Below are 25914 nucleotides of genomic sequence, written 5' to 3'. Positions count from 1 at the left end.
GTGATGTGGGAGCTGAGGTTTGAATAGCAAGAAGAACCAGCCAAGGCAGGTTCTAGGGAAGGCCATTCCAGGCAGAGGGAACAACTACCACACAGGCTCTGGAGCAAGAGTAAGCTTGACATGTACAAGGAATCAAGACAGGGCCCATGCGGCTAGAACACGGTGGACCAAAGAAAAATGGAAGTTGGAGAAGAAGACAGGGCCAATTGTGTGGGGCCTTTCACTCCGTGGTAAGAAGTTTGAACTTTAAATGCAACAAAAACAATTGAAGAGTTTTGCTTTTTAATTAAAAAGAGCGATATTTCAAGGTTCTTCTGGCAGCAGTATGGAGAGTGGCCGTCGGGGCAACCTGGATGGGAAGAAAGAGGTGTGTTAGGAAGCTGTTACAGTTGGTCACGGAGGACTTAATGGCTTGGGCCGGAGGGATGGAAATGGAGAGGAGTGGACAGATTCAGAATGTATTTTTGGAGCTGGAACCAATAATTCCTACTGACAGATTGTGAGAGGAGAAAAGGGGAGAATCAAGGAAGACTCTGGTGATTTTGTTTTGAGAAGTGGGGTTGGAGGTTAATACCACTCACTCAGATGGGGGAGACTTGGAGAGGACCAGGTTTATGGGCAAAACATCTAGCTTTTGTGTAGGTGATGGCCTGGTGGTAGCTATTGACACCCTCATCACTATTGTAGTGGATGCAGCGGCATGCTGCCCAGATCCCCTCTTCAGAGCCAAGACCCCAATCCTCCAGCCGATGGGAAGGTCACAGTTATTACTCATCAGAAACCTGCTCTCCTTCCGAGGCCATGCCTCCTCCCAAGAGGGGCCATGGCCGATAAAGGGCCGATGTGTAGACACACAGCCCAGGCTTCTTACCTAAATTGGAGACTACCCTAAAGGGCCATCCTTGTTCCAGAGGTCCCCGGATCAGCCAGGGCCTCTGGTGCAGCTGCACGTCTCTCAGCTTCTTCCTCTGCCCTGTCTGCCTCCTCACCTCCTCGCAGATGATTTCCCACTAACACCTACCAGCTTCTCACACCACCTCTGTCTCAGTCTGGATCCAGAGAACCTAGTGTAAGACAACTATTCTCATCACCATAATCGTTATTACCAGGTCATTTCCAGACTCCCAACCAATTTGAAAACTCTGTTATGAAGCATTCTGAAATAGCCTTTCAAACTTCTTGAACGCCTACTGTCTAAAAAGGCCTAACTCCCCATCTTTGTTCACCACAGCCCCCTCAGAAACAGTTTCTCATCCTAGATTTACTGAGAAAATTATGTGTATGTTGTCAATGCTCTGTCTATAGATGCACATTTGTACAAGTTAGACCCTGGGTCCTGATGTTGAGAAGGGGCCCATACCCAGTGAGTTGATACAGCAGGGATAACAGAGGCCTCCTGATTGATATACCACCCCAAACCCCTGCTCCCAAAGAAGAAAAGAATGTGCTTTCATGGTGTCTGTGTGTGTGTGTGTGTGTGTGTGTGTGTGTCTGTGTGTCTGTGTGTGTGTGTGATGCCCACATGTAACCAAATGGACTATAATGCTTATAGCTGGACAGATGCAGGGCCATTACATACGACTGCACTAGGTTGTACCCTATACAAATACACCTGGTGAAAAGGATAGTTGGGGGGTAAAATCCAGCCCATATTCTCCTGCCGACCTTATGCCCAGGTATGGTGCAGCATCTTTCTCTACCCACCACACCATGCACCCTGACCCAGGGCTAATTCTGCCCAGAGGGTATACTTTTTTCTAATTTGTACAAAAGCTCCAAAAGAACAGGAACAAGGAGCGCTGGTTATTAAACTCTTGTCCCTCGGCCCCAAATCCACCCTTCTGTTCTCTACTTTGTGCTCCTGGAGATGAAATCCTGCAAGCCACATTTCCCCTTCACTAGCTTCTCCTTACTAGGCCCCCTCCCATTGACTCTTGGAGGGACAAAGAGAGGCAGAAGGAGAGACCCCATCTATCCCATTTGCTGCTTACTCCTGGCCACATCACTCCACCAGCAGTGAATTCCAGTTCACTGGCTTTTTGCCACACCCTCAGAACCCACCTTGGCATGTCCAGCAACATCAGCACCAATCAGCCAGCACCAGCTTCTCTGAGTTTTAGGTCCTAGCACTGCAGTTTCTTCTCCAAGCTTCCAGGTTCTAATAACCCTGATCTCTTTCTTTGTTCCTCTGTCCTAAAGGTATAGCTGCCTTTTGGCAGTTACTATCTCTGTAAGTCCTCAATGGCCACTTTCTGTCTTTCTGCGCCTCCAATTCTTGTTTACTCAGTTCCCTACGTTAAAATCTCTCTGTTCAAACAACTTGTGTGAGCTCTGTTTTCCTGACTGACAGTCGTTGGGGGCATAAATGAGAGCCTTTCACAGTCAGAGCCCCCCAGTTACTGTTAGTCACTCATTTATTCATTCAACAAACATTTGTACTATAATCCCTATGTATAGAAGAAGGTGGCTTTGGTTGTATATATACACACACCTGTGTAAATACTGTTTATATATTTTGGTATACGTATAGAACACAAATGGGAGAATACACGAAAAATAGATGACAGTGATTCACTCTGGGAACTGGAGGTATTAGATGAGGAAAAGTATGTTTCATATAGCCTTTTGAGTTTTTAACACTCCACATATTACTGTTATATTTTGAAAAACTGATGAAAATTCATGTATTCAATGCCATCTGAGTGCCAGCAAAGGGGAAGTCCTGCAGATGCAGAGGTTTTGCCCCCAGAAATCTTCCTGCCTAGCCCGGGCTGACACTGCAAACCAGCAGAGCACCATATCTCGGTTTCCACTTCTCCTTGCCTTCAGATTTAGAGGAACATTCTTGGAAGATTAGAAGTTGATGGTAGAATCTCCAGCCAGTGTGACTAAGCTAAAGTAAATGAGTGGAACAAAAATATTAAGATGGGGGTATCCTTTGCAACGTCGTGTACAGGGGTTCAAAATGTAGAAACAAAGAAAGAGTGAGAAGGGAACTTAGAGCTAGTGGAGCACATTTTGGTTGCACCCCTGTATGCAATCCCACCCATCTGTAGTGAGCATGCAATCTGAGTAAAACTGACCTCAACCCCAGTTGTTGGAGTAGGACTAATAGTTCCAAGCCAAGTGGGGCAATCCTAAGCCTCCTGCCATGGGATTTGTTCAGGTAACTCCAGCTTAAGCCAATTAGCTTGAAATTTGGACTTCTGTGTGATGATTATTAGAAATAACACTCTTTCCAAGAGTGATGGTTAAAATATTTGCTAACCTCTCCAGATCAGGCTCTGAACCCCTGGAACCAGCGTAGGCTCAACTGGAATAGACCTGGCTCAGAGCAACCAGTTTGGGAACTGAGCTTAATGCCTGAAGTAGCTCCATCTCTCCCGCTCTGGCTGTAAAGCGTGTGATTGCAGATGCTGCTGGCTGCCTTTTTGTGATCATGAGATAAGCCACCCTGAAAATCAAAAGGATACCAAGAGGAGGACTGGATAAAGAGAACTGTACAGCCAGCACCCTGGGCAGACTGTGCCAAGGCCCACACTCTTTATTGTTCAGTCCTGTTTGTATTAGGTTTCAATACTTTGTGATGATGGTTTCTACATCCTCTCAATTATCTTCTTACTTCATATTTGGTTAAGGCTAAACTGAGGTCCAGAGCCAAAAAAAAAAGGCCTTGTCTGAACTCTTACAGAACCAGGACCTTAATCTTTTGTCTGTCAAACCAGTGGTCTCCTAATAAATCATAAAACCTCTTCCACCACGTTGTGGGAAGCAGCAGGGACTCCATCAGTGTTTGTTGAGTGAATTAATTACTAAATGAGAATGAGATCAGAGGGAAGTTCTGGCAAGGGCACAAGGTAAGCAAGGGTTTGGAGTGAAGGAGGGACAGTGCGGAGACGGGCAATGAAAAGAAACCCTCAAGAGTTTATTCTATTTTAGTCACATGAACACATTGGCAGTACAAAAGGCTTCCTTAAACTCCAGGGAGTTTCTGTGGATAAATATCTGATTGCCACTTGTCCAGAAACAATCAATACCCAAAGCACAGAAAGCATTTGGAAGTTTATTATAAAAATAACTAGAAGGGGTCTAGAAAGATCTCAGAGTGCCAAATCCCATCAAGAACTTGTGATCGGGGTGGGGACGGTGGGTAGGTAACAGAGTCTCAGCATTGTGAAATAATTCTCCTCTGAACAGGAGGAAGAAAAAGGCTGTCACTGTGCAATTAGAAAATGTCATCACTTTTCATGACACTTCAGTTTTTCTTATATGTAAAATGGAAAAAATAATAATACAGTCTCACTGCTATGGTTTGAATGTCCCCTCCAAAATTCATGTTGAAATGTAATTGCTGATATTAAGTGGTGGGTCTTTTAAGAGGTGGTTAGGTCATTCGGGACCTGCCCTCACGAATAGGTTAATGCCATTATGGCAGAAGTGGGTTAATTGTCATGGGAGTGGGCAGTCCCCATCCTCTCTCTGGTTCACATGCTCACTTGCCCTTCTGCCTCTCACCATGGAATGACGCAGCACAATGGCCCTCACCAGATGTCAGCACCATTCTCTTGGACTTCCAAACCTCTAGAATCATGAGCCAAATACATTTCTATTCATTGTAAATTACTCGGTTTCAGATATTCTGTTATAGAAGCAGAAAATAGACTAAGACGCCCACTGTACTTTATCTTTGGACCAGATGTTTCAACATTCAGAAATGCTGGGTTTTAGAAAAGTTACATGGTACATAACACTATATTATGGAGCACTCAGTGGGTTCTGGGGAACACCCTGTAATCAAATGCATTAATATTTTTGTAGGGAAACTTATAGATATTTACAGTAAATGGCATAATTAAGACCATAAATAGTCTCACATCAGTTCAGTCCAGGACTTGCCACCAAGTGAGTTATAAAAATCTTTCGGTTGTCAGAGCTTTTGGAGTTATTTTTAGAGACAGGGTCTTGCTCTGTCACACAGGCTGGAGTGCAGTGGCGTGATTATGGCTCACTGCAGCCTCAAACTCTTGGACTCAAGCAATGCTCCTGCCTCAGCCTCCCAGGACGGGGGTCTCACTTTGTTGCTCAAAGTGCTGAGATCATGAGCCACTGCACGCTACCACTTTTTGGATTTTTGAAACTGGGTTTAAGGGATGATGAGTATATCATGCATTGGGCTTTTGGGAGAATTGGATGAGGTAAAGCCAATGGCTGGCTTGGAGGAGTCACTCCATGTGTTACTAGTGTTATTTTCCTTCTGCTTCTATATATGAATGTCCCACATGGGCTCCAATCTCTACCTCGAGGAAGGCCATTCTCTCGTGGCCCCCTCTGGGACTGCCCTGAACCCCTGAGGCCTGTTTGCACCCTAAGGTCAAGGTGTCACAACCACCTGATGCACTCCACCACTAAAGGTCTCTCCACTCACCTCAGGGCCAATGTAAGGACCTGCTGGGTTCCAGAATTCTATGAGAACTGCCCCCACTGGTGGTGTTCAGCCCATTCCTCCTTTTTTTGCCTGCAGTCTTAAAGGACCACAGGGTTTGTCCACCTGACTCCACAGGCTTCTCCACAGGAAGCCAAGTCAGGCACAGGGGGCTGGCAGTAGTCAGGCTGCAAGGTTAAGGGCAAGATCACCAGGGACTGACTTTTTATCACACCATGCAGAAACCAGACACAGGACTGGGGCAAGGGTGAAACAAGCAAGACACCTCAGGCACAAAATTGAAGGAGGCCCTGTGCACCCCCTCACCTCATCTTCATCCTGGTCCTGCTCACAAATTGAATATAAGGTCAAAAACAAGAGAGTTTACCCAGGAAAATGCAGGCCAGAGAAGAGAGGATTGGCTGTATGAGTTATCCATTGCTGCATGACAAATTACCTCCAAAAATAATGGTTCAAAACAACAATAATCACTTATTATCTCATGCAGGCACTAGATCAGAATCTCTCACAAGGTAGCAGTCAAGATGTTGGCCAGGGCTGCAGTCCCTGAAGCCCTGACAGGAGGTGAAAGGTCCATTTCCAAGGTGGCTCACTCTCATGGCTGGCAAGTTGGTGGTGGATATTGGCAGGAGGCCCTAGTTCCTCTCATGTGGGCCTCTCCACAGGCTGCCTGAGTGTCCTCCTGACATGGTAGCTGACTTCCCTCAGAGGGAGCAATCCAAGAGACCAATGCAAAAGTTGCGATGCTTTTTATCACCTGGTCTAAGAAGTCACACACCCTGTCATTTCCACAGAATTCTATTGGTCACAAAGCACTAATCATGTGGGAAGGAACTAACTACACAGACAATGGATACCATGATATCAGGCTCATTGGGGACCATCTCAGATACTTGCAGTCATGGTCTGCCTTCTTGCCCTCTGTAATTCACATCTCTCTTAAATTAAAATTAGCTGATTCCCAAGCCTTTCAACATGCCCAAAAAGTCCTTCAATGACAACATCAGCATGAGGTCCAGTATCTTATTATTTAAATCATGTCCTGGCATAAATGAAGGTCCCATGATGCGGTTTCTCAAGTACAGCTCCTAGAGTATAGTTCCTCTCCATCCTAAAACTATAAACTAAAGAGATACATTATCTGCACCCCTACACACCCAACTTCCAATGGTGGACAGGCATTACTCTAGATTCCCTTTGCTCATTCAAAAATGGGGAAAGCAAGAGGCATATGGAAGTCACTGGCCCATAGCAATTTTGAAATCCAGCAGAGCAGATGTTAATCATTTCTTGATTGGGATTCACTCCTACCACTGCCCAGAAGTGATACTCTGTGTTTCTTCAACACTGCCTGGAACTCTTGTTTGTTGGATAACCCAGTTCATTAGGACCACTTGCTATTTTCCAGGTTATCACAAGTGACAGCATTTCTAAACTTTTTACCGTTACATAACAAAGAAGCTCTTCTCTCAAGTGTTTTACTCTTACTTTTATTTTTTTAGAGATAGAGTCTCACTTGTCACCCAAGCTGAAATGCAGTGGCGTGATCATAGCTCACTGTAACCTTGAACTCCTGGGCTCAAGTGCCTCAGCCTCCTGAGTAGCTAGGGCTACAGGTGCTCACCACCATGCTCCACTAATTTTTTAAAAATTTGTTGTAGAGATGGGGTCTCACTATGTTGTCCAGGCTTGTCTTAAACTCTAGGCCCCATGTGATCCTCCCAGCTTAGCTTCCCAAAGTGTTGAGATTACAGGCATGAGTACCTGACCCTCCTCATTTTCTTTTAAGCTCTTATTGCATCCTTATCACAGCCATCAGGCTTCTCTTGAAGTGAAGTCTCTTGAAGTCCCTTTAACTTATCATGCACCCTCGCCTCCCAGTTTCTGCCCAAATCCAGTGCCAAAGCCACTCCCACATTTCTTACAGCAGCACCACATTTCCAGGCACCTAAATCTGCACTATTTCTACTGCTGTATAGTAAACACCCCAAAACGTAGTGACTTAAAACAATAGTAATCATTTATTCTCTCTTACGTTTCTGTGGGTCAGGAATCCAGGAGTGGCTTGGCTGGGTAGTTCTAGTTCAGGATGTCTCATGAGATTGCAGACATTTATCAACTCAAGCGGCAGTCATCTGCAGGCTTGACCGGGGTGGAGGCTCCTTTTCCAAGGTGGCTCATTCATATGGCTGGTGAGTTGGAGCTGACTAAAGGCTTATGTTCCTCTCTATGGTAGACTTTCAATAGAGCTGCCTGATGATCCTCACAACAAGCCTCTAATGAGACAGGTAATCATCACCTTATCATACAAATACATGTAAAACTACAATTGAGATGAGTACAATGAGAAGGATGTACTTTTGCTCATAGGAGTACAAATAAAGAGTTGACCTAATCAGGAAAGTCATGGAAGACTTCCCTGGGGAGGTGATGCCTGGGCTGAGCTCTGGGGGATGAGCTCTTCTAACCAGACATAAAGAGAAGGAAGCCGAGCACAGTGGCTTACGCCTGCAATCCCAGCACTTTGGGAAGCCGAAGCAGGTGGATTACTTGAGCTCAGGAGTTGGAGACCAGCCTGGACAACATGAGGAAACCCCATCTCTACCAAAAATACAAAAAAGATTAGCCAGGTGTGGTGGTGCACACCTGTAATCCCAGCTACTTGGGAGGCTGAGGTGGAAGAATTGCTTGAGCCCAGGAGGTGGTGGACGCAGTGAGCCGAGATTGTGCCATTGCACTCCAGCCTGGGTGACAGAGTGGATCTCATCTCAAAAATTAAATAATAATAATTTAAAAAGAGAAGAGTGTTACAGGAACAGGGAACAGCATGTGTTAAGGCTCTGAGGCAGGAAAGAGGATAACTCTTTCTAGAACTTAATGAAGGCCAGTGAGGCTGAGGACAGTGAGGTGGAGAAGGGGAAGATTAGGCTGGAGGTAGAGAGAGAAGAGCCAGACAGGAGATGAGGACATAACATCCAACCCTTACATTTGTGTAACAGTGGAAACATCTCAGCATATCTTTTTACATACTCTTATTTTGACTTTCACATTCTAAGTAAGAATGCTAAGTAAGTTCCAGTGCGCACACTGGAACTCAGAGTGGTTAAGCAAATAAGTTCAGGTTACATTGCAAGACTGAGACCAAGGTAAGACTTATTTTCTCACTAAAATAACCACATTGTGCCACCTCCCTAAAGAGAAATGGCCCCCTTCCTAACTTTCCTTCTCCCTTACTAGTGCGTATGTGGTAATGCTTGTCCAGGAGTTGCCAGTGTGTCTTTACTAATCATGGTTGCACCTGGCACTCACAAAACCTCCTGGAGGTACACATATTTCCCTGTCATAAAGAGCTTCCCTCTCCCCCTCTTCACATCTCTCCTTACCCCACACCACCCCAGCACCCCTGCCCATACCTAGCAGCCAGGGGCTACACTTCCATCAGGTAATAACAGCTCAGGCAAGCTCATAGTCCATGGCTATGTAGGCTATTGCAGGCTGGCTTCCTCCATCCCAACTCCAGATGTGTTTCTAGTAGTGCCCAGAGCTTCCTGGAAACCCAGATTGGGATATCTTCAGATCCCATGCAAGCAGAGCGGTGTGCTCATCTGAATAGGTTCTAAGGCTGAAATCTCCTTCTGTGCATGGCCTGCCTCAGCAGCTGCTCCCTCGAGCTCCCCCAGTGAACCTTCCAGGCAGATAAGAAGTGACTGTGAACAGGATGGAAGGGAACGCCACAGCTTTGCTATCTGCCTCTTGCTAGGTATGTGGGCATTTTGAAACATAGAAGAACGCATTTTTACTTCCCTCCTTTATAAAAGCACTGACACTACTCATCGCATTGTCTTCTCTGCCTTCTCTCAGCCAATGGCGTCCGGGGTACTGAGAGATGAGACAGCACCCAGCTCTAGACCTTGCTACTGAATCATTCATTCTTCTAATTTTTTTCCTCTTTTAATTTTTTTTCTTTTTTCTTTTCGTAAAGACAGGGTCTCATTCTGTTGCCCAGGCTGACCTTAAACTCCTGGGCTCAAGCGGTCCTCCCACTTTGGCCTCCCACAGTGCTAGAATTGCAGGCATGAGCCACTGTGCCCAGCAGTTCTAACTGCTGACAATCTGATAAGTGCAAAAAGTAACTTTCTGCTCTGCTGCTTTCATTTGCACTTCTCTACTTTCTATTAAAATTGGGCAACACCTGTATGTTGATTAGCTGTTTGCCAATTGTTCTTCCTTCAAGGACTCCAGCCCCTTAGAAATGGAGCCTCTCCAGGTGTGTTTGATGAGTTGGGGTGGAGCCGAACTCTCCCCTCCCTTGTTTTGCATACTGCACTTCTGTTCATACAGCCTGATGATTGGACACTGGGCACAAAGAGCTCACAGAACAATGCCCCAAGCTGCCATTCCCCTGGGGGTGTCTGATGTTACCTGGAAATGTCGTGTTGGCATAGCTAGTGGGGACCCGTTTTAAGCTTGGGACCAAAGATCCTCCCTCCTGTTAGTAGGATAGGGATGACACAGCAGAGGGAATGCAGAGAGCCTTTGGGAGCTGCAGCCTCACATAGGCACAGTGTAAGGTGCAGGGCAGACTTGAGAGCCCTCCAGAGGAGCTACTTACAGAATGGGCTTTGAGCCAGAGCATGAGCAGAGGACAAGAGTTCTCTGCACTCAACGTTGAAGCCAGCTAGGTCCACCTAGGTCAAATTTTTGAGGAGGCCAGGACTGGGGTGAGGCAAGTGAAGTACTTAGTATATAAAATTTATAGAGGCACTGACTCTCAGGGCTCAGCCTGTATTCCCACAGCCCTGAGGGTGAGTGCCTCCTTACATTTCATGCCTAGGCACGTTTGCCTCACCCTAGTCCCAGCCCAGCCTGGGAGACAGGAACGTGGTGGGGCCCAGAGGAGTCGGGACAGTCCCCTCGTGTATGAGAATCCAGGCTTAGCTCTCAGAGAGGAGGAAGTGCTGACTGGGAAAGGAACCCACTCTACCTCCTTTATGGCTGTTTGTGTGTTGTGAACTTTCTGTTGTTCTAAATCCAGGGTATTAGTTCAATGGTTCTTAACAACTCCTCTGGTTGTCTTTATAAAGTCCTGTGTCAGTTAGTGGGAGATAGAAACCAGTGTAGCTCTTTTCTTTTCTTTTCTTTCTTTCCTTTTTTTTTTTTTTTTCAAAGTCTTGCTCTGTTGCCCAGGCTGGAGTGCAGTGGCGGGATCTTGACTCACTGCAAACTGACTCCCAGGTTCAAGCAATTCTCCTGCCTCAGCCCCCTGAGTAGCTGGGATTACAGGCATGCACCACAATGCCCGGTTAATTTTTGTATTTTTATTAGAGATGGGGTTTCATCATATTGGCCAGGCTGGTCTCAAACTCCTGACCTCAGGTGATCTGCCCACCTTGGCCTCCCAAAGTGCTGGAATTACAGGCTTGAGCCACTGTACCCAGCCTAGCATAGCTATTTTCAACAGGAAAGCATTTAATACAAGGATTTTTTTAAAATGGAATACTATGCAGCCATAAAAAAGAACAAGTTCATGTCCTTTGCAGGGACATGGACGAAGCTGGGAACCATCATTCTCAGCAAACTAACACAGGAACAGAAAACCAAACACCACATGTTCTCACTCATAAGTGGTAGTCGAACAATGAGAACAGAACACATGGACACAGGGAGGGGAACATCATACAGGGCCTGTCAGGGGGTCGGGGGCAAGGGGAGGGAGAGCATTAGGACAAATACCTAACGTATGCAGGGCTTAAAACCTAGATGATGGGTTGATAGGTGCAGCAAACCACCATGGCACATGTATACCTATGTAAAAAACCTGCACGTTCTGCACACGTATCGCAGAACTTTAAGTAAAATAAAATAAAATAAAATAAAATAAAATAATAAATAAATAAACAAAAAAGCACTGGAAGGACTGGAGCAGCAGACTCTTGCCTGGGCTTCCAGGAATGTCTCTCCAAACACCACAGAACCAACCCACTGAGAGAGTTGCTCCCTGTGACACAGCCAGGACGGGGAGAATTGGGAGATCACCACTATCTATTCAAGAACACAGCCCCTTAGCTGTGGTCCAGGGATCAGAAGCCAGGGACTAGGGTCATAAAACCATCACAGCTGCTTTTCTCACCTTCAACAAGGCTGGAGCTTGGATGCAGAAACACTGGGGCAGAGGTCCCCTCATCTCCCACCTCTGCTCTCTCACAGAAAACTGCGCCAAACAAAAGGAAGGGAGCCTCTGCCTCACTTCCGCTTCACATCTCAGCTTGATGGCATCTGATTGGCAGAACAAAGTGTACTGTCAGAGCAATAGCTGCAAGGGAGTTTGAGAAATATCATTTTTATCTTCCCTACCATTACAGTCCAGGAAGACGCCATAGAAAGTGGTGAGAATGCTGGGGACCAGGGGACAATACCCAACTCAAGTCTCAAGTTTAAAGGCTCCTGCAGGTGAGGGAAGAGAAACTAGGGGACCTCATGCTATTTACAGGCACACCTCATATTACTGAACTCACTTGATTGTGCTCAGCAGATGTTGCAATTGTACAATTTGGAGGTTGTGGCAATCCTGCATACAGCAAGTCTATCAGAGCTATTTTTCCAACAGATTGTGCTCACTCTGTGTCTCTGTTGTCACATTTTGGTAATTCTCACAATAATTCAAACTTAGTCATTATTACTACATCTGTTATAGTGATCTGTGATCAATGATCTTTGATGTCACTATTGTAATTATTTTGGAGTGCCATGAACCACGCCCACAGTGAACTCGATAAATGTCGCGTGTGTTCTGACTGCTCCTACTGGCCAATCCCTGTCTCTGTCCCTGTCCTTGGGCCTTCCTATTCCTTGAAACACATACATATGGAAATTATGCCAATTAATAACCCTACAATGGCCTCTAAGTATTCAAGTGGAAAAAAGAGTCACAGTCTCTCACTTTCAATCAAAAGCTGGAAAAGATGAAGCATGTGAGGAAGGCACGTCAAAAGCCAAGAGAGGCTGAAAGCTAGACCTCTCACAGCAAACAGCCAAGTTGTGAACGCAAAGGAAAAATTCTTGAAGGAAATGAAAAGTGCTACTCCAGTGAACACACGAATCATAAGAAAGTGAAACAGCCTTATTGCTGACATAAAGTCTGAGTGGTCTGGATGAAAGATCAAATCAGCCACAACATTCCCTTAAGCCAAAGCCTAATCCAGAGCCTAATCCTCTTTCAATTCTATGAAGGCTGAGAGAGCTGAGGAAGCTGTAGAAGAAAAGTTGGAAGCTAGCAGAGGTTGGTTTATGAGGTTTAAGGAGAGAAGCCATCTCCAGAACATAAAAGTGCAAGGTGAAGCAGCAAGTGCTGACAGAGAAGCTGCAGCAAGTTATCCAGAAGATCTAGCTAAGATGGCTGATGAAAGTAGCTACACTAAACAACAGATTTTCAATGAAGATGAAACGGCCTACTCTTGGAAGAAGTTGCCATCCAAGACTTTCATAGATAAAGAAAAGTCGGCTGGGCATGGTGGCTCACTCCTGTAATCCCAGCACTTTGGGAGGCTGAGGCGGGTGGATCACAAGGTCAGGAGCTCAAGACCAGCCTGACCAAAATGGTGAAACCCCATCTCTACTAAAAATACAAAAATTAGCCGGGCGTGGTGGCATGCGCCTGTAGTCCCAGCTACTCGGGAGGCAGAGGCAGGAGAATTGCTTGAACCCGGGAGGCAAGAGGTTGCAGTGAGATGAGATCATGCCACTGCACTCCAGCCTGGGCAACAGAGTGAGGCTCCATCTCAAAATAATTAAAAAAAAAAAAAAGAAAAGAAAAGAAAAGAAAAGTCAGTGCCTGACTTCCATGGCAAAGGACAGGTTGACTCTCTTATCAGGGGCTAATGGAGCTGGTGACTTTAAGTTGAAGCCAATGCTCCTCCTTTACCATCACCAAAATCCTAGGGCCATTAAGAACGATGCTAAATCTACTCTCCCTGTGCTCTATCAGTGGAACAACAAAGCCTGGATGACAGCACATTGGTTTACAACATGGGTTACTGAATATTTTAAGCCCAATTTTGAGACCTACTGCTCAGGAAAAAAAGATTCCTTTCAAAATATGACTGTTCATTGCCAATGGACCTGGTCACCCAAAAACTCTGATGGAGATGTATAAAGAGATGTACAATTGATGTTGTTTTCATGCCTGCTAACACAACATCCAATCTCAGCCCTTAGCTCAAAGAGTAATTTCAACTTTCAAGTCTTATTATTTAAGAAATAATTTTTTAAAAGTTTTAGCAGTCATAGATAGTGATTCCTTGGAAGGATCTAGGAAAAATAAATTGAAATCTTCCTGGAAAGGATTTCCCCTTCTAGATGCCATAAGAACACTTGTGATTCATAGAACGTGGTCAAAATAGCAACATTAACAGGAGTTTGGAAGAAGTGGATTCCAACTCTCATGGATGACTTTGAGGGCTTCAGACTTCAGTGCAGGAAGTAACTGCAGAAGTGGCAGAGACATAAAATGACAAGTGGAGCCTAAAGATGACATTGAATCATTGCAATTTTATGATAAAGCTTCAGCAGATGAGGAGTTGCTTCTGACAGATATGCAAAGAAAGTGGTTTCTTGAGGTGGAATCTACTGGTGCTATGAACATCGTTCAAATGACAACAAAGTATTTAGAATATCAAACTTAGTTGATAAAGCGGGAGCAGGGATTAAGAGGATTGACTCCAATTTTGAAAGAAGTTCTGCTGTGGATAAAATGTTGTCAAAAGCTACAGAGAAATCTTTTTTGAAAGGAAGAGTCAATTGATGCAACAAACTTCATTGTTTTTGTCCTTTAAGAAATTGCCACTGTCATCCCAATCTTCAGTAACCACCACCCAGATCAGTCAGCAGCCATCAACACTGAAGGAAGACCCTCCACCAGCAAAATGTTTATGACGACTTGAAGATTCTGATGATCGTTAGCATTTTTTATCAATAAAGTATTTTTAATTAAGGTATGTACATTGTTTTTTAGACAATGCTATTGCTTACTTAATAGACAACAGTATCATGCAGACACAACTTTTATATGCACTGGGACACCAAAAAAATTGTGTGACTTGTTTTATTGTGATATTTGCTTTATTGTGGTAGCCTGGAACCAAACCTGCAATATCTCTGTGGTGTGCCTGTGTCAGAGTAGGGACCTGGTGCTCAGGCATGGCAAACCTGCCCACGGAGCCCCACTGCCCCCACCTCACAGACCTCTGCCTTTGCCAGGCTGCTCACCATCCACAGGCCACACGACTGATCAAGGCCCAGATGACCTTTCATTTGCAAGCACTTGAGCACGCGCAGGAGAATTCAGCAGTACAGGGCAGGCTGTGGCAAAACCATGCCTCCCTTCACCCCAGTCCAGATCCCAGACTCTGGAATCTCTAGAGACTGAAACTGCAAATAAATATGTGACAAGTCTGAGAAATTTGCCTCCTTCAAAGCATTAGTGTCATTGCTGCAAGTGTGTGGATTCTCCACTTGGTGGATTTGTGTCTGCCTCCAATTCCTCGCTTTGTTTTACCTAAGGGCTTTTCTAGTATCTTTGGCAATGAGATCTGGAAATGAGTTGGCATCTGGTCTAATCGTTTGGTGGAGTAAGTCTGGTTCCCCACCTGTCAGCTGGAGCTCCCTAGCTTCCTTAACATCTAGATCCGTGTGGCTGGAAACACTAAACCCTGCCTTATGGTTCAAGGTCTCCCCTGAGACTTCACTTGGTTAGGCCAGAGCTTAGGGCCCCAGCATGGCCTCAGCCTCCTGGGCCCTCCCTCATGCACCACATGGAGGTATGGAGCAGGGCACAGGGGAAGAGAGGGCCCTGGAGGCTGAGTCTCTTCCCTGGGCAGCTCAAACCTGCCACATAGAGCATCAGACAGGACAGGAAAGACATCCTAATATAGCTCTGAGCACACTGCATGACAAATGTTCTAGGGCCACACTCTCATTCTTTTTTTCTCTCCCACTTAGAAAAGTGGCAAAGTAGCACCACAGTCTGCTTCCTAAAGGCCTTCCCACTTCACCCCGTCCCCAAAACCCACCACACATTTCTCACGGGCTCTGCCACCCATAAAGCATCCTAGCATCTCATCATCTTTCTGGCTACTCTGTCTTCCTCCTTCTTTTTCTCTGTTTTTTGTTTCCTTTCTATTTTTTTTTCTAATCTCCCCTCTCAGGAGCAAAAGTGAGAAGGTTTCCATCTTCAGCAACAAGCTAGCTTATTCTCTGGGAGTCCAGCTGGGGCATTTGCCCTCCAAGTTTCTCTCTCCAGTCCAGTGACTTATCCAGAAAGTGTCTCAAAGTCAGTTCCCATTCCATGTGGAATGTTAGTTCCAGCTGTTAGGACAGTAAATGTTTCACCTCATTACTAATGTGTGTATACACACACACACACACATATATTACATATAGCTGTAGCTATAAAATCACATATCTCAATATCTTCATATATAGACAAATTGTGCATAAGCAATCCTTATGAGCAATGTTTTAAATGATGCGCTAATTGTCATATCTTCATAAAACTAACATGACTGGCCCTCCCTTCTCCGGTTCCCCTTCTCACTCCCTTCCTCCCACACCGTTACCTTTCCGCCGTTGCAACTCCCATCCCAGGTGTGCTATAAAGCACACTAGGTGTAAATAGTTGTCATCCTGAGAGCTGAGCAAGGCAGCTATGCTTGACCATGTGTGTTCCCAGGGGAACCCCAGTGCCATCGAGGCTGTCTTGTAAGGACCGTGAGGGCTGGCCCCTCGCTGATCTGTGACTTGTGGTTTCTTCTAGATGAGTCAGCCAAGGTGGGGACGTGAAATGAATCAAGCAGATGTGTGTCAATGATGCTCTGAAGAATGATGCCAGCACTCATGGCTTCACACAAAACAGCCCCAGAACTCCTGGCTTTAGATGTACATCCAGGCCAGGCTCTCCCAACCTCAGCACAGTTCAGATAATATGGACTGCCCTGTACACTGAAGGATGCTTAGCAGCATCCCAGGCCTCTACCCACTGGATGCCAGGAGTACCCCCAAGCCCTCAGCTGGGACAACCAAAAATGTCTCCTGATATTGCCAAATGTCTCCCTGGAAAGTAAAAATCACCCCTCAGCTGAGAATCAGTGCTCTATAACTGTATAGATAAATATTGTCTATACAGCAATGTATACATACATATAAACAATTAAATATTTATATGTCCTTATTTTAAGTTGGCATCTGATATAAACTTTTCATTCAATCAGCATATGCACAAAACAGAAATGTGACATATTTTCTTCCTTTTCTTTTAAAAATTAATGTCTTCTGTGATAATAGTGACATTTGTGATAACTAAATAAATAGAACCATCATATATCTTTCTGTGAAGCTGGCATTGAAGCAGCAGTGAGAAGGGAGTTTTGGAGTGTCAGTTGCCTTCCCCTGGACCCACCATGGCTCCTGCCTCCTGGAGCTTTGAGAATGCAGATGGACTGTATAAACCAAAAATAAAATTCTAAGTTCCCCCAGCCATCTGAATGGACCCCTCCTGTTGGCCAAGGGCATTCCAAAGTTAACCTGAAAAATGAATTCAGGACATGATGGGAACAGAGAGCTGGACATGCCTCATTATACCCTCCTCCCTTTTGGAATTACTGATAGAAGACTCTTTAAATCTGATAAGAAACATTTACAGTCTATTCTTGACTGGGTGCAGTGGCTCATGCCTGTAATCCCAGCATTTTGGGAGCTGAGGCAGGTGAATCACTTGAGGTCAGGAGTTCCAGACCAGCCTAGTCAACATGGTGAAACCCCATCTCTACTAAAAATACAAAAATTAGCTGGGCATGGTGGCAGACACCTGTAATCCCAGCTACTCAGGAGACTGAAGCACAAGAATCGCTTGAACCCAGGAGGTGGAGGTTGCAGTGAGCCGAGATTGCACCACTGCACTCCAGCCTGGGCAACAGAGCAAGACAGGAAAGGAAAGGAAAGGGAAAGGAAAGGAAAGGAAAGGAAAGGAAAGGAAAGGAAAGGAAAGGAAAAAGGAAAGGAAAGGAAAGGAAAGGAAAGGAAAGGAAAGGAAAGGAAAGGAAAGGAAAGGAAAGGAAAGGAAAGGAAAGGAAAGGAAAGGAAAGGAAAGGAAAGGAAAAGAAAAGAAAGAAAGAAAGAAAGAAAGAAAGAAAGAAAGAAAGAAAGAAAGAAAGAAAAACATTTACAATCTATTCTCTCTGAAGCCTCCTACCTGGAGGCTTAATCTGCATGATAAAACTCTGGTCTCCACAACCCCTTATCGTAAACCCAGATATTCTTTTCTATTGATTCCAAGTCTTTAGATAATAATTCTTTCAACCAATTACCAATCAGAAAATCTTTGAATTAGGTTGTCCCACCTTTCCCGACTGAACCAATGTATTTTACACATATTAATTGATGATTTATGTCCTCCTAAAATGTATAAAATCAAGTTGTAGCCTGACCATCTTGGGCACATGTTCTCAGAATCTCCTGAGAGCTGTGTCACAGGCCATTGATCACTCATATTTGGCTCAGAATAAACCCCTCCAAATACATTACAGAGTCTGACTCTTTTCGTTGACAACAATTAGGGGTCCTAGTCACTTGGCATTTGTCTTCTCTAGCCAAGACACCTCAGAGATCCCTGTGCAAACCAATTCAAAGGGGAAAGGAAAGATGAGCTGATCTTCAGTTACACAGGATTGCCAGCTACGTCAGCCCCAATATAGTACATTCTCAAGATAGGATAGATTATGGTGCAATAAAACATAATCCAAAAAACTGCAGTGGTGTAAGGCATTCCAGGTCTGTTTCTCTCTCATCTTCACGGCAATTACAGGTCATGCTCTATGTTGCTGTTATCTCATTCTGGGCTAAGCAACCACACTGGGGAACATGGGGAAGTACATACTCACTCGGAAAGTGCCTGCCTCAAAGTGGATGTCACTTCTCTCACATTTCATTGACCAAATCAAGTCACATGCCGATGCCTGAATTCAACAGGTGCCTCCTGCAGAAGGAGGACAGGGAATTAATGGACAATCATAGAGCTCAGCACACATGCTTAACTTCTCTACTCAGAGGTTCCTTCAGTGCCTCCCAGCACACTAGGGCCCCACCCTATCCTGTCCGATGCCAACCCTCTTCTCTTCTTCAGCTGGACATTTTCCAAAGTCTCTCTCCTCTCCCACCCCCAGCTAGTAATAATTTTCAGAATCTTCATCATTAGCTACCATATCTCCACCCCCTTCCATTCATCAAAGATAATCAAGACATCATTTTTAAACCCAAAGTCTAAGCTTCCCTTCCAATTCTGGACTCACAGGACTTATTTCTCAGGACTGTTTAAAAAGAGAGCTTACAGCAGGGTTTCTAGGCAATGGCACTCTTGACATTCTAGACTGGATAATTGTTTGTTGTAGGGGGTTGTCCTGGTCATTGTAGGATGTTTACCAGCATCCCTGGCTTCTACCCACTAGATATCTGTAGCACTCCCCAAGTTATGACAACCAAAAACATCTTCCGATTGCCAAATACCCACTGGGAGGAAGGGGACAAAATTGTTCCCAGTTGAAAACCACTAGTCTACAGAAGTTCCAGCCCATTGCTGCTCCTGGCTAATTATTTATTTATATTACATGAATCTACTGAGTACTTGCTAAGTGTCTACCCCTTCATCAACAAACACATGCTGGGCACCTACTTCAGACACTGGCTGAAGGCAAGAGGTGCCAAGATCACATAGGTGTGGTCCCTGCCCTCCAAGCACTCACAAACAGTGCAAGCCAGCAGACATGTTAAAATATAAGTTCGGCACAATACAATACGTTCATGGCTCTGTGAGCAAATTGCCATGCGAGCTCAAGACAGAAGCCTTTGGCAGGGAAAACTACACAAAGAAGTTAAGAACACTGGAAAGTAATGATGCTTCATGTTTATACCATACGTTGTGATTTGCAAAGCACTTTCACATATGTTATCTGCCTTGATCCTGAAACAACCTTGAGAGGTGGTTGTTGCTCTCCCCATTTTGCAGATAAGAAAAGCGAGGTTCAAAAGGATTCAGCCACTCCCTAGGTCGCACAACAATTGAGTGGCAGAAGTGGGACTATTTCTGCCACTAGTTGGGTGCCCCAACTCCAAAATTGTTTTCTCCTATTCCCCTGCAGAACTTAGGAAGGCTGCGGGGAGCTGAAGGGCCATTGATGCCACAGCAGGAAGATCATACTTCCCACACCCATGTACCCAAGGCGAAGGTGCCTGGCCTCAAGCAAGATTAGGACTGTTAGATCAGGAACACGGAATGTGAGGAGAAGAGAAACAGTCAACTCTTTTCATTTCAAAATAGAACTTTGGTACTCATAGCAGAGACAAGTTCTTGAAAGATAAGGCTTTTGATTTGCAAAAACTGTTTTTTTTTTTTTTCCAGTTCTAAAAGCCTAGTTTTAGCATCATCAGAAGCAAAGCTCTGAAGGAATTGGGGCATAAAGTCTAGATTAGAAAAAGGAGAGCTGGAGAACCAGACTGCCATGCTGCCGAGATTAGACATGGATAACTAAGAGGGGTGGGGTGGGCGGAGGCAGAGGTGAGAGCAGCAGAAGGAGCTACTGATATGTGAGGCAGGGACAAGGAGTCACATGCTTCACTCCTCCTGTGGTCCAATCTCAGTGGGAGAGGAAGTAAGTATCAGACCCAGAAATCTCTGGCCAGTTTGGGAAACAAGAAGGGAGGGGCCTTGGGATGATAGCAAACCTTAGAGAGAGATCCCTGTCCAGTGGAGGAGCCCAGACATATGGACACAGAGAGTGCCACTCCCTCACTCAGCCTGGTGCAGAGAGAATAGATGGGCTTCTCCATGCCCACAAGGAGTGGGGCAGAGGGGTCACCTGAAAGGCAGAGCCTCGCAGGGGACTCACAACAACAGGAGAGGATGTCCTGTGAGATCAGATGAGGACACTGTCATGTCCCAGCTGATGCCAGCAAGGAGGGGAACAACTGTCTGAACAACACACTGGATGGCAGATATCAGCAGATGTTGACAAGTGAGTCTCACTGGAATGAGATGGAGAACAACACAGTCCAGCAAATATCCAGAGACTCACTCTGATTGGAACAGGGCATGTCACAGGTCCAAGCCCACTGAACCAATCACTGTGGTCAGAGAAGTGAGTGTTTCAATTGGAGGGAGTCTCTTCTTGCTCCATGTATCTTCTTTCTCAGTTTCTCCCCCCCAAAGTCAACCACTGTTTATGGTTTCTTGTGTATCTTTTCAGAATGAGAAGTTCTCCATTTACACAAACTCATCTATGTGTATGTGGTCCCTCACTTTCTTTACTCAGTGTCAGCCTACCATACACACCCCATTACACTTAGATTTTTGACCTAACACATCCTAGAGACTTTATATCTGCTCTTCTGAAAGCTGCCAATGACCTCCCTGTCATCAAATACTCTCTACTACTCCACAGCTGAGTAGGGGAGCCAGGTGGTGCCAGGAGAATCCACTTCTCCTGACTCATGGTCCTGTGTTCTGTCCCATGCCCATGCCTGCCCAGCACCCCCGGCCACCATCCTGTATGAGCCAATCATGTCCATCTAAGGCACAATCTGGAAGCCAACACGAAACCACGTCCCCCCAACCCCCATCACAGCACCTGAGCCCAGTAACCTGAATATAAGCCTTCCTGGAAAAAGGGACCTAGCCTACACCCTCACCACTCAAAGTGGGGTCCAAGGACCAGCATCAGCAGCAGCATTGCCTGGGCACTTTTAGAAATGCAACATCTTAGGCCCTTTGCAGAATCTTGGTCTTTATTTAAACAAGATCCCCAGGGGGATTCTTGGGCATATTTAAGTTTGAGAAATGCTGGTCTACCTACCTTCTTCTGAGCACTTGGACTTTTCCAGTCCAAGAGGTTTCCAGTTCACAGGCTGTTCTTGCACTTTGCTGCTGATATAAATACTCTCATCGCTGCTGTATTGGGTTTACATTTAAGGATTCCCAAAATAAACCTGGCCCTTGTGTACACAAAGATGCTAGTGGCTCTCCAGGTTGCAAGGAGGTGAGTTAGGGAAACCCTGATCCTTTTTTGCCATCAATGGCCAGAAAAGGTTTGCAGGGGCCTCTTAGATATTCCTGCTTCTGTGCTTCCCTTACCTCCTGGCACGTGATGCCTGCTTGCCTTTCCCCCTGAAATACTGTGTTTATAAACAAAGCCACATGTGAACCCATAAAGGGAAGTCTAAGTGGGATCCCTGCGCTACAGGGCCCAGCATCTCCTACGGAGGCAGCTGATTCTCACGAAGCGACGAAGGAGCCATCCAGAATGGTCAACCGTCTCTCCTGGGGCATTCTGGATGAAAAGCCACCCTCCTGGAGTACAGGAGAAAAGCCTCCCAGCTTTTACTGTGGTTCTTGGTTCCTATCCTCCAGCGCAATTTAATTTTTTAAATAGATGTCAGTCCCTATTTTTCTGATAAATGGCTGAGTTTTTAACACGTGGACATGTTATAGAAAAGCGCAGGTATGGGTCATGCGAAAGCTTGGTGAAAAAAAGAAAGAAAATAGGAAAGCTTTTATATTCTCACTATTTAGCACAAAATTATAATGGTAGGAATACTTTCTAATTCCACAGCAAGGCAATGCCTACCCACACCATATGAGTCCATGAGAATGTGTGTTGACATTACTTAGAGGGGGTGTGGGAATGGGAGATGGGGTTGGGGTGTGTGGGAGGAGGTAGGCAGATTTGACCATTTGTGTTATTACTAAAAAGTTCAAATTAAAAACGAAGCAAAACAATGTACTATAGCGCTTCCTTATTTCTTTATTTTTTTGTTTTGATGGGATTTAACATAAAATAATGCTGACCTAGCTGAAATCTTCAGAATGTGAAGTCGACATCAGATCTCCATGCACCATATTTTTGACTTGCAAATGCCTTCCAAGAATAGCTGGAGTGTCCTTATTAAGCCCAGCTTGTGATGCATCCTTACTTAGCACCGTCTGCTCCGGCACTGTATAATTCATGGACTTGCCTTATGAAGTTAGGGAGGGATGGAAACCGTGACCAGCCCATGAACCCAAGCTGACACTTCAATTATTTTAAAAGGAACACAGAGAAAGCTGAAATCTGACCGGCCTCTCAGCCCCATCCTCGGGGACGCCCAGCCAGCCTTTCTTTAGCCAGGCTCCAGGTCCATCTGCATCAATGCTGGGGGCATCGTATTCGGCCAAGGGAAACTGTCATCTTAGTTCCAGCCTTATACTCAGCGGTGACCCAGCATCTCTGGTGAGGATGGTGCAGCTCAAGAAACAAGCCTGAGGGTCCATGGTATTTAGAGTTGAGTTTCATTAATTTTAGCAAACAAGGATGAGCCTGATCATGGTAATAATAATCACTATAGTTACCATATATGAGCTCTTCCAGGCTGCCAAGTCTGGTACCAAGCACCGTTTAAGTATTACCTCATTTAAAGCATAGAGCAAAGTAGGAATTATTGTCCCATTTTACAGAGGAAGAGACTGTGTCCCAGAAGCTGCCCTAAAGCCACAGATAATGACAGGAAAGTCCTGGATTCAAACACAGGTCTGCTGGGCCCCAAAGCACATGTTCCTAATGAGTGCTCTGCAAAGGGAGTGCCCTAAGGCCCAGGGCTGGGCACGATTGTCATATGGGAAGAAAATAACAGAAATGTTATATATGCTTTAAAATCTCATTTCAAAATTTCTATTTTTGCACATTTTCATACATATTATTATATCTCAATGTACATAGTGAATAAACAAAGATATATTTTATATTGACTGACCTTATGCAGGGTACCCTTTCTCATCAAGACCACCCCGCTCATGGGGACCTCCATTCCCCAGGGCAGGTGACCCTGTTATATGACCTTCATGGCCCGTAACTCCATTGGTAACTATCCTTATTAGATTGTTTCTTGACTTTTTTTTGTCCCGCCACTGCAATGGAAACTCCCCAGGAGTTTGGATGCTTCATCTCTGCTGAGACCCAGTGCCTTGCACTGAAGGTGCTCAGGCACATATATTGATGACTGTGTGGTCTGATTTTTTTTTTCTTAATTGTAAAGTTTTGAGGCCACTGCTCTTCACTCTTCCCTTGTAGTGACCCCTGACCAGGTTTTCCACAGATGGGGGGCTCTAGGCAACCTGGCCCTCTCTCCTCAGGATCCTTTTTGAGATCCTCATCTGAGACCTCTTTAGCCCCATGTGGACATTGGCAAGCTTGACTTCCCCCACCAGCCTGGCACACGAAGAAACAGACGCATCTACAATCTGAAGACTACTTCTAATTTGTGGTGGGAGCTCTGATCAGCCATGCACCTCCCTGGGTCTCAGCATCCTTTTTTGCAAGCAGGAGGGGCTTTACCACAGGGGCCTTGGCCCCATCAGGACCTGTGAGGCTGAGGCTCCATGTCCAGGTGAAAACGTGCCCTCCTTATGTTTCGTTTCATAAGCCTGCAGCTTTAGGAAGGGGCCACACTCCTGCTGCTGCCCCTCCAGCCAGGTGTGTCACCTTCATGGTGATCCCACCCCTCTCCAGGTCTCAGTACTTTCACCTGTTCTGAGTGAAGGAGGGGTTGTGGATTATCCCGGGATCTAATGAGCTAGGTGTTGCGCTTACCCTTGGAAAATTCACAAGAACTCTCTAGATGAACCTCACATTCCTCGGCTTCTGTCATCATAGATCCAGTTTAGCAGATGGCAGGGGCTTCCGATCATTCAGAAGGTATTTCCTGAGCACCTTCAGTGCCAGGCACTGGGTCTCAGCAGAGATGAAGCATCCAAACTCCTGGGGAGTTTCCACTGCAGTGGGGGGACAAAAAAAAAAAGCAAGAAACAATCTAATAAGGATAGTTACCAATGGAGTTACGGGCCATGAAGGTCATATAAGAGGGTCACCTGCCCTGGGGAATGGAGGCCCCCATGAGCGGGGTGGTCTTGATGAGAAAGGGTACCCTGCATAAGGTCAGAAGAAGAGCTGTCTGAGACGAGGAAACAGTCGAAGCAAAGGCCTGGGGAAAGAACGTGTTTGGTTTATTCAAGGGACAGAAGAAAGTGCAGAGTGGTTGGGGCTGAGGGAGCAAGGGCGGGATGTAGGCAGGGCTGCATATACAGCTAGGTGATAACTCAGTGCAGAGAAAACACCACCCATGGGTACCAGCACTCCTGCCCCAGACAGGTCCAAACTCCCCTTCGAGATATCTGCTTGATTTGAGCATCTAAGGGAGCCCTTGCCACTTAATACTAAAGACTTGGAGAACTAAACTGGAAGCTCAGATCGTGCAGATGGCCCACCCCATCCCACCCCTGGCTCCCTGACTTGGGAGGCTCTCTTCTCCCCACCTCCACGTCTCTCTTCCATCAAAAGAGGGCCTGGCAGCTGCTGCTTTGGTGGTGATTGAGATGTGCCTAGCAGCATGTCTGCAGCAACCATCTCCTGGGCTGTGCTCTGCCCCTGTAGTCAGCCACCCAACCCCACTGGGCTTTGAAGCCAGGAGCTCATCTTGAAGGGTTTCTCCCTAGCTCGAGGCAGGCTAGCCAGGGGAAACCAGTGTCTCAGCTGAGGTCCTCTCCTCCCCCTGGGCGTCTGGAAGCACCGACAAACCCTCAGCTCTCAGGGTTAACAAAGTCTGGAGGCAGGGCAGGGACACACAGACTGCAGTGTTCACAGCCACCACCCAAAGTGAGTGATGCAGAAACACAGTCCCCTGTGTGCCTATCAGCCAGATCCAGCCCCTACACACACAGGGCCCAGGGAGAGGCAGGCTTCCTCCAGGAAAGGAAGGCTGGGTCATAGTTGCTGGGGGTGAGAGGGCACCCCAGAGATGCCCCACAAAATGAGCAGGCTGACAAGAGTAATCCCAGTTCATATTAGGTACCCACTATGTGCCAGGCTTCACACTGGGCTCTTGACACTCAAAGCTCCTTACCTTACTGCACCTTCACTCAGCAAGCCTGAGACTCCATGGTTAGTACCACCCCATTTTATAGATGAAGAAACTGAGGTTCTGAGAAATAAACTAACAGCCTTCACTGTGCTAGGAAGTGGCTAAGGGGAGTTGGAGCCGGCCTGCTGCCTCTGCCCCATCCCTGCCTCCTCAAGGCCTAGAGTCTGTGCTGACCCTTTGCCGAGGTCAAGCCCAGGTCAGCTGCGTGGGGTGCAAGCAGGGACATGATCTCTATGATTGATGAGCTTACAGCCAAATTGCAGACACAAGAAAGCACTCAGGAAACGATTCTAGAGGAGGAGAATGTGGGGCTGAATAAGGGAGAAAAGCGCATTGAACTTGGGAGTCAGACAGACATGGGTTGGGACCTGAGCCCTCTGAACCTCAGTTTCCTCACCTGTAAAATGAGCATCATCCTGAGTCCTGCTCAAGGTGGTCCCTAGGCGCCCATGAGTGCTGGCAAATACTCAGCGTGCCAT

At 45.9% G+C, this 25914-nt stretch overlaps 1 long non-coding RNA gene across 2 annotated transcripts in view, besides 2 other annotated features; it reads right to left on the bottom strand.

The window, feature by feature from the left end:
• Positions 1 to 265: 265 nt before the first annotated feature.
• The window catches only part of PCAT29 (prostate cancer associated transcript 29), a 103551-nt gene continuing 77902 nt past the window's right edge, over positions 266 to 25914 (bottom strand). Inside the window, exons 4-6 of one of the 2 annotated variants that reach the window (NR_126437.1) lie at positions 18376 to 18470; positions 11574 to 11719; positions 266 to 349 (exon numbers count right to left, since the gene is read on the bottom strand). This is a non-coding gene — a long non-coding RNA (prostate cancer associated transcript 29). Of the gene's footprint in view, positions 350 to 11573; positions 11720 to 18375; positions 18471 to 24108; positions 24277 to 25914 lie in introns of both variants that reach the window. The other variant, NR_126438.1, reaches the window with a different exon arrangement.
• Positions 15933 to 16102: an enhancer, noted in NCBI's record as "experimental_40793 CRE fragment used in MPRA reporter constructs". NCBI's record gives its function as "activates a minimal promoter by MPRAs in K562 erythroleukemia cells, with activity observed for the introgressed 15:69972338 variant allele {active_cell/tissue: K562}" and the evidence as "EXISTENCE:reporter gene assay evidence [ECO:0000049][PMID:34662402]".
• Positions 16151 to 16440: an enhancer, noted in NCBI's record as "active region_9662". NCBI's record gives its function as "activates an Ori minimal core promoter by ATAC-STARR-seq in GM12878 lymphoblastoid cells {active_cell/tissue: GM12878}" and the evidence as "EXISTENCE:reporter gene assay evidence [ECO:0000049][PMID:35858748]".

The sequence above is a fragment of the Homo sapiens genome, chromosome 15, assembly GCF_000001405.40.
Source record: "Homo sapiens chromosome 15, GRCh38.p14 Primary Assembly".
Classification (NCBI taxonomy): Eukaryota; Metazoa; Chordata; class Mammalia; order Primates; family Hominidae; genus Homo; species Homo sapiens.
The sequence above is the reverse complement of the archived record's forward strand: the minus strand, read 5'-3'. Positions and strand labels throughout refer to the sequence as shown.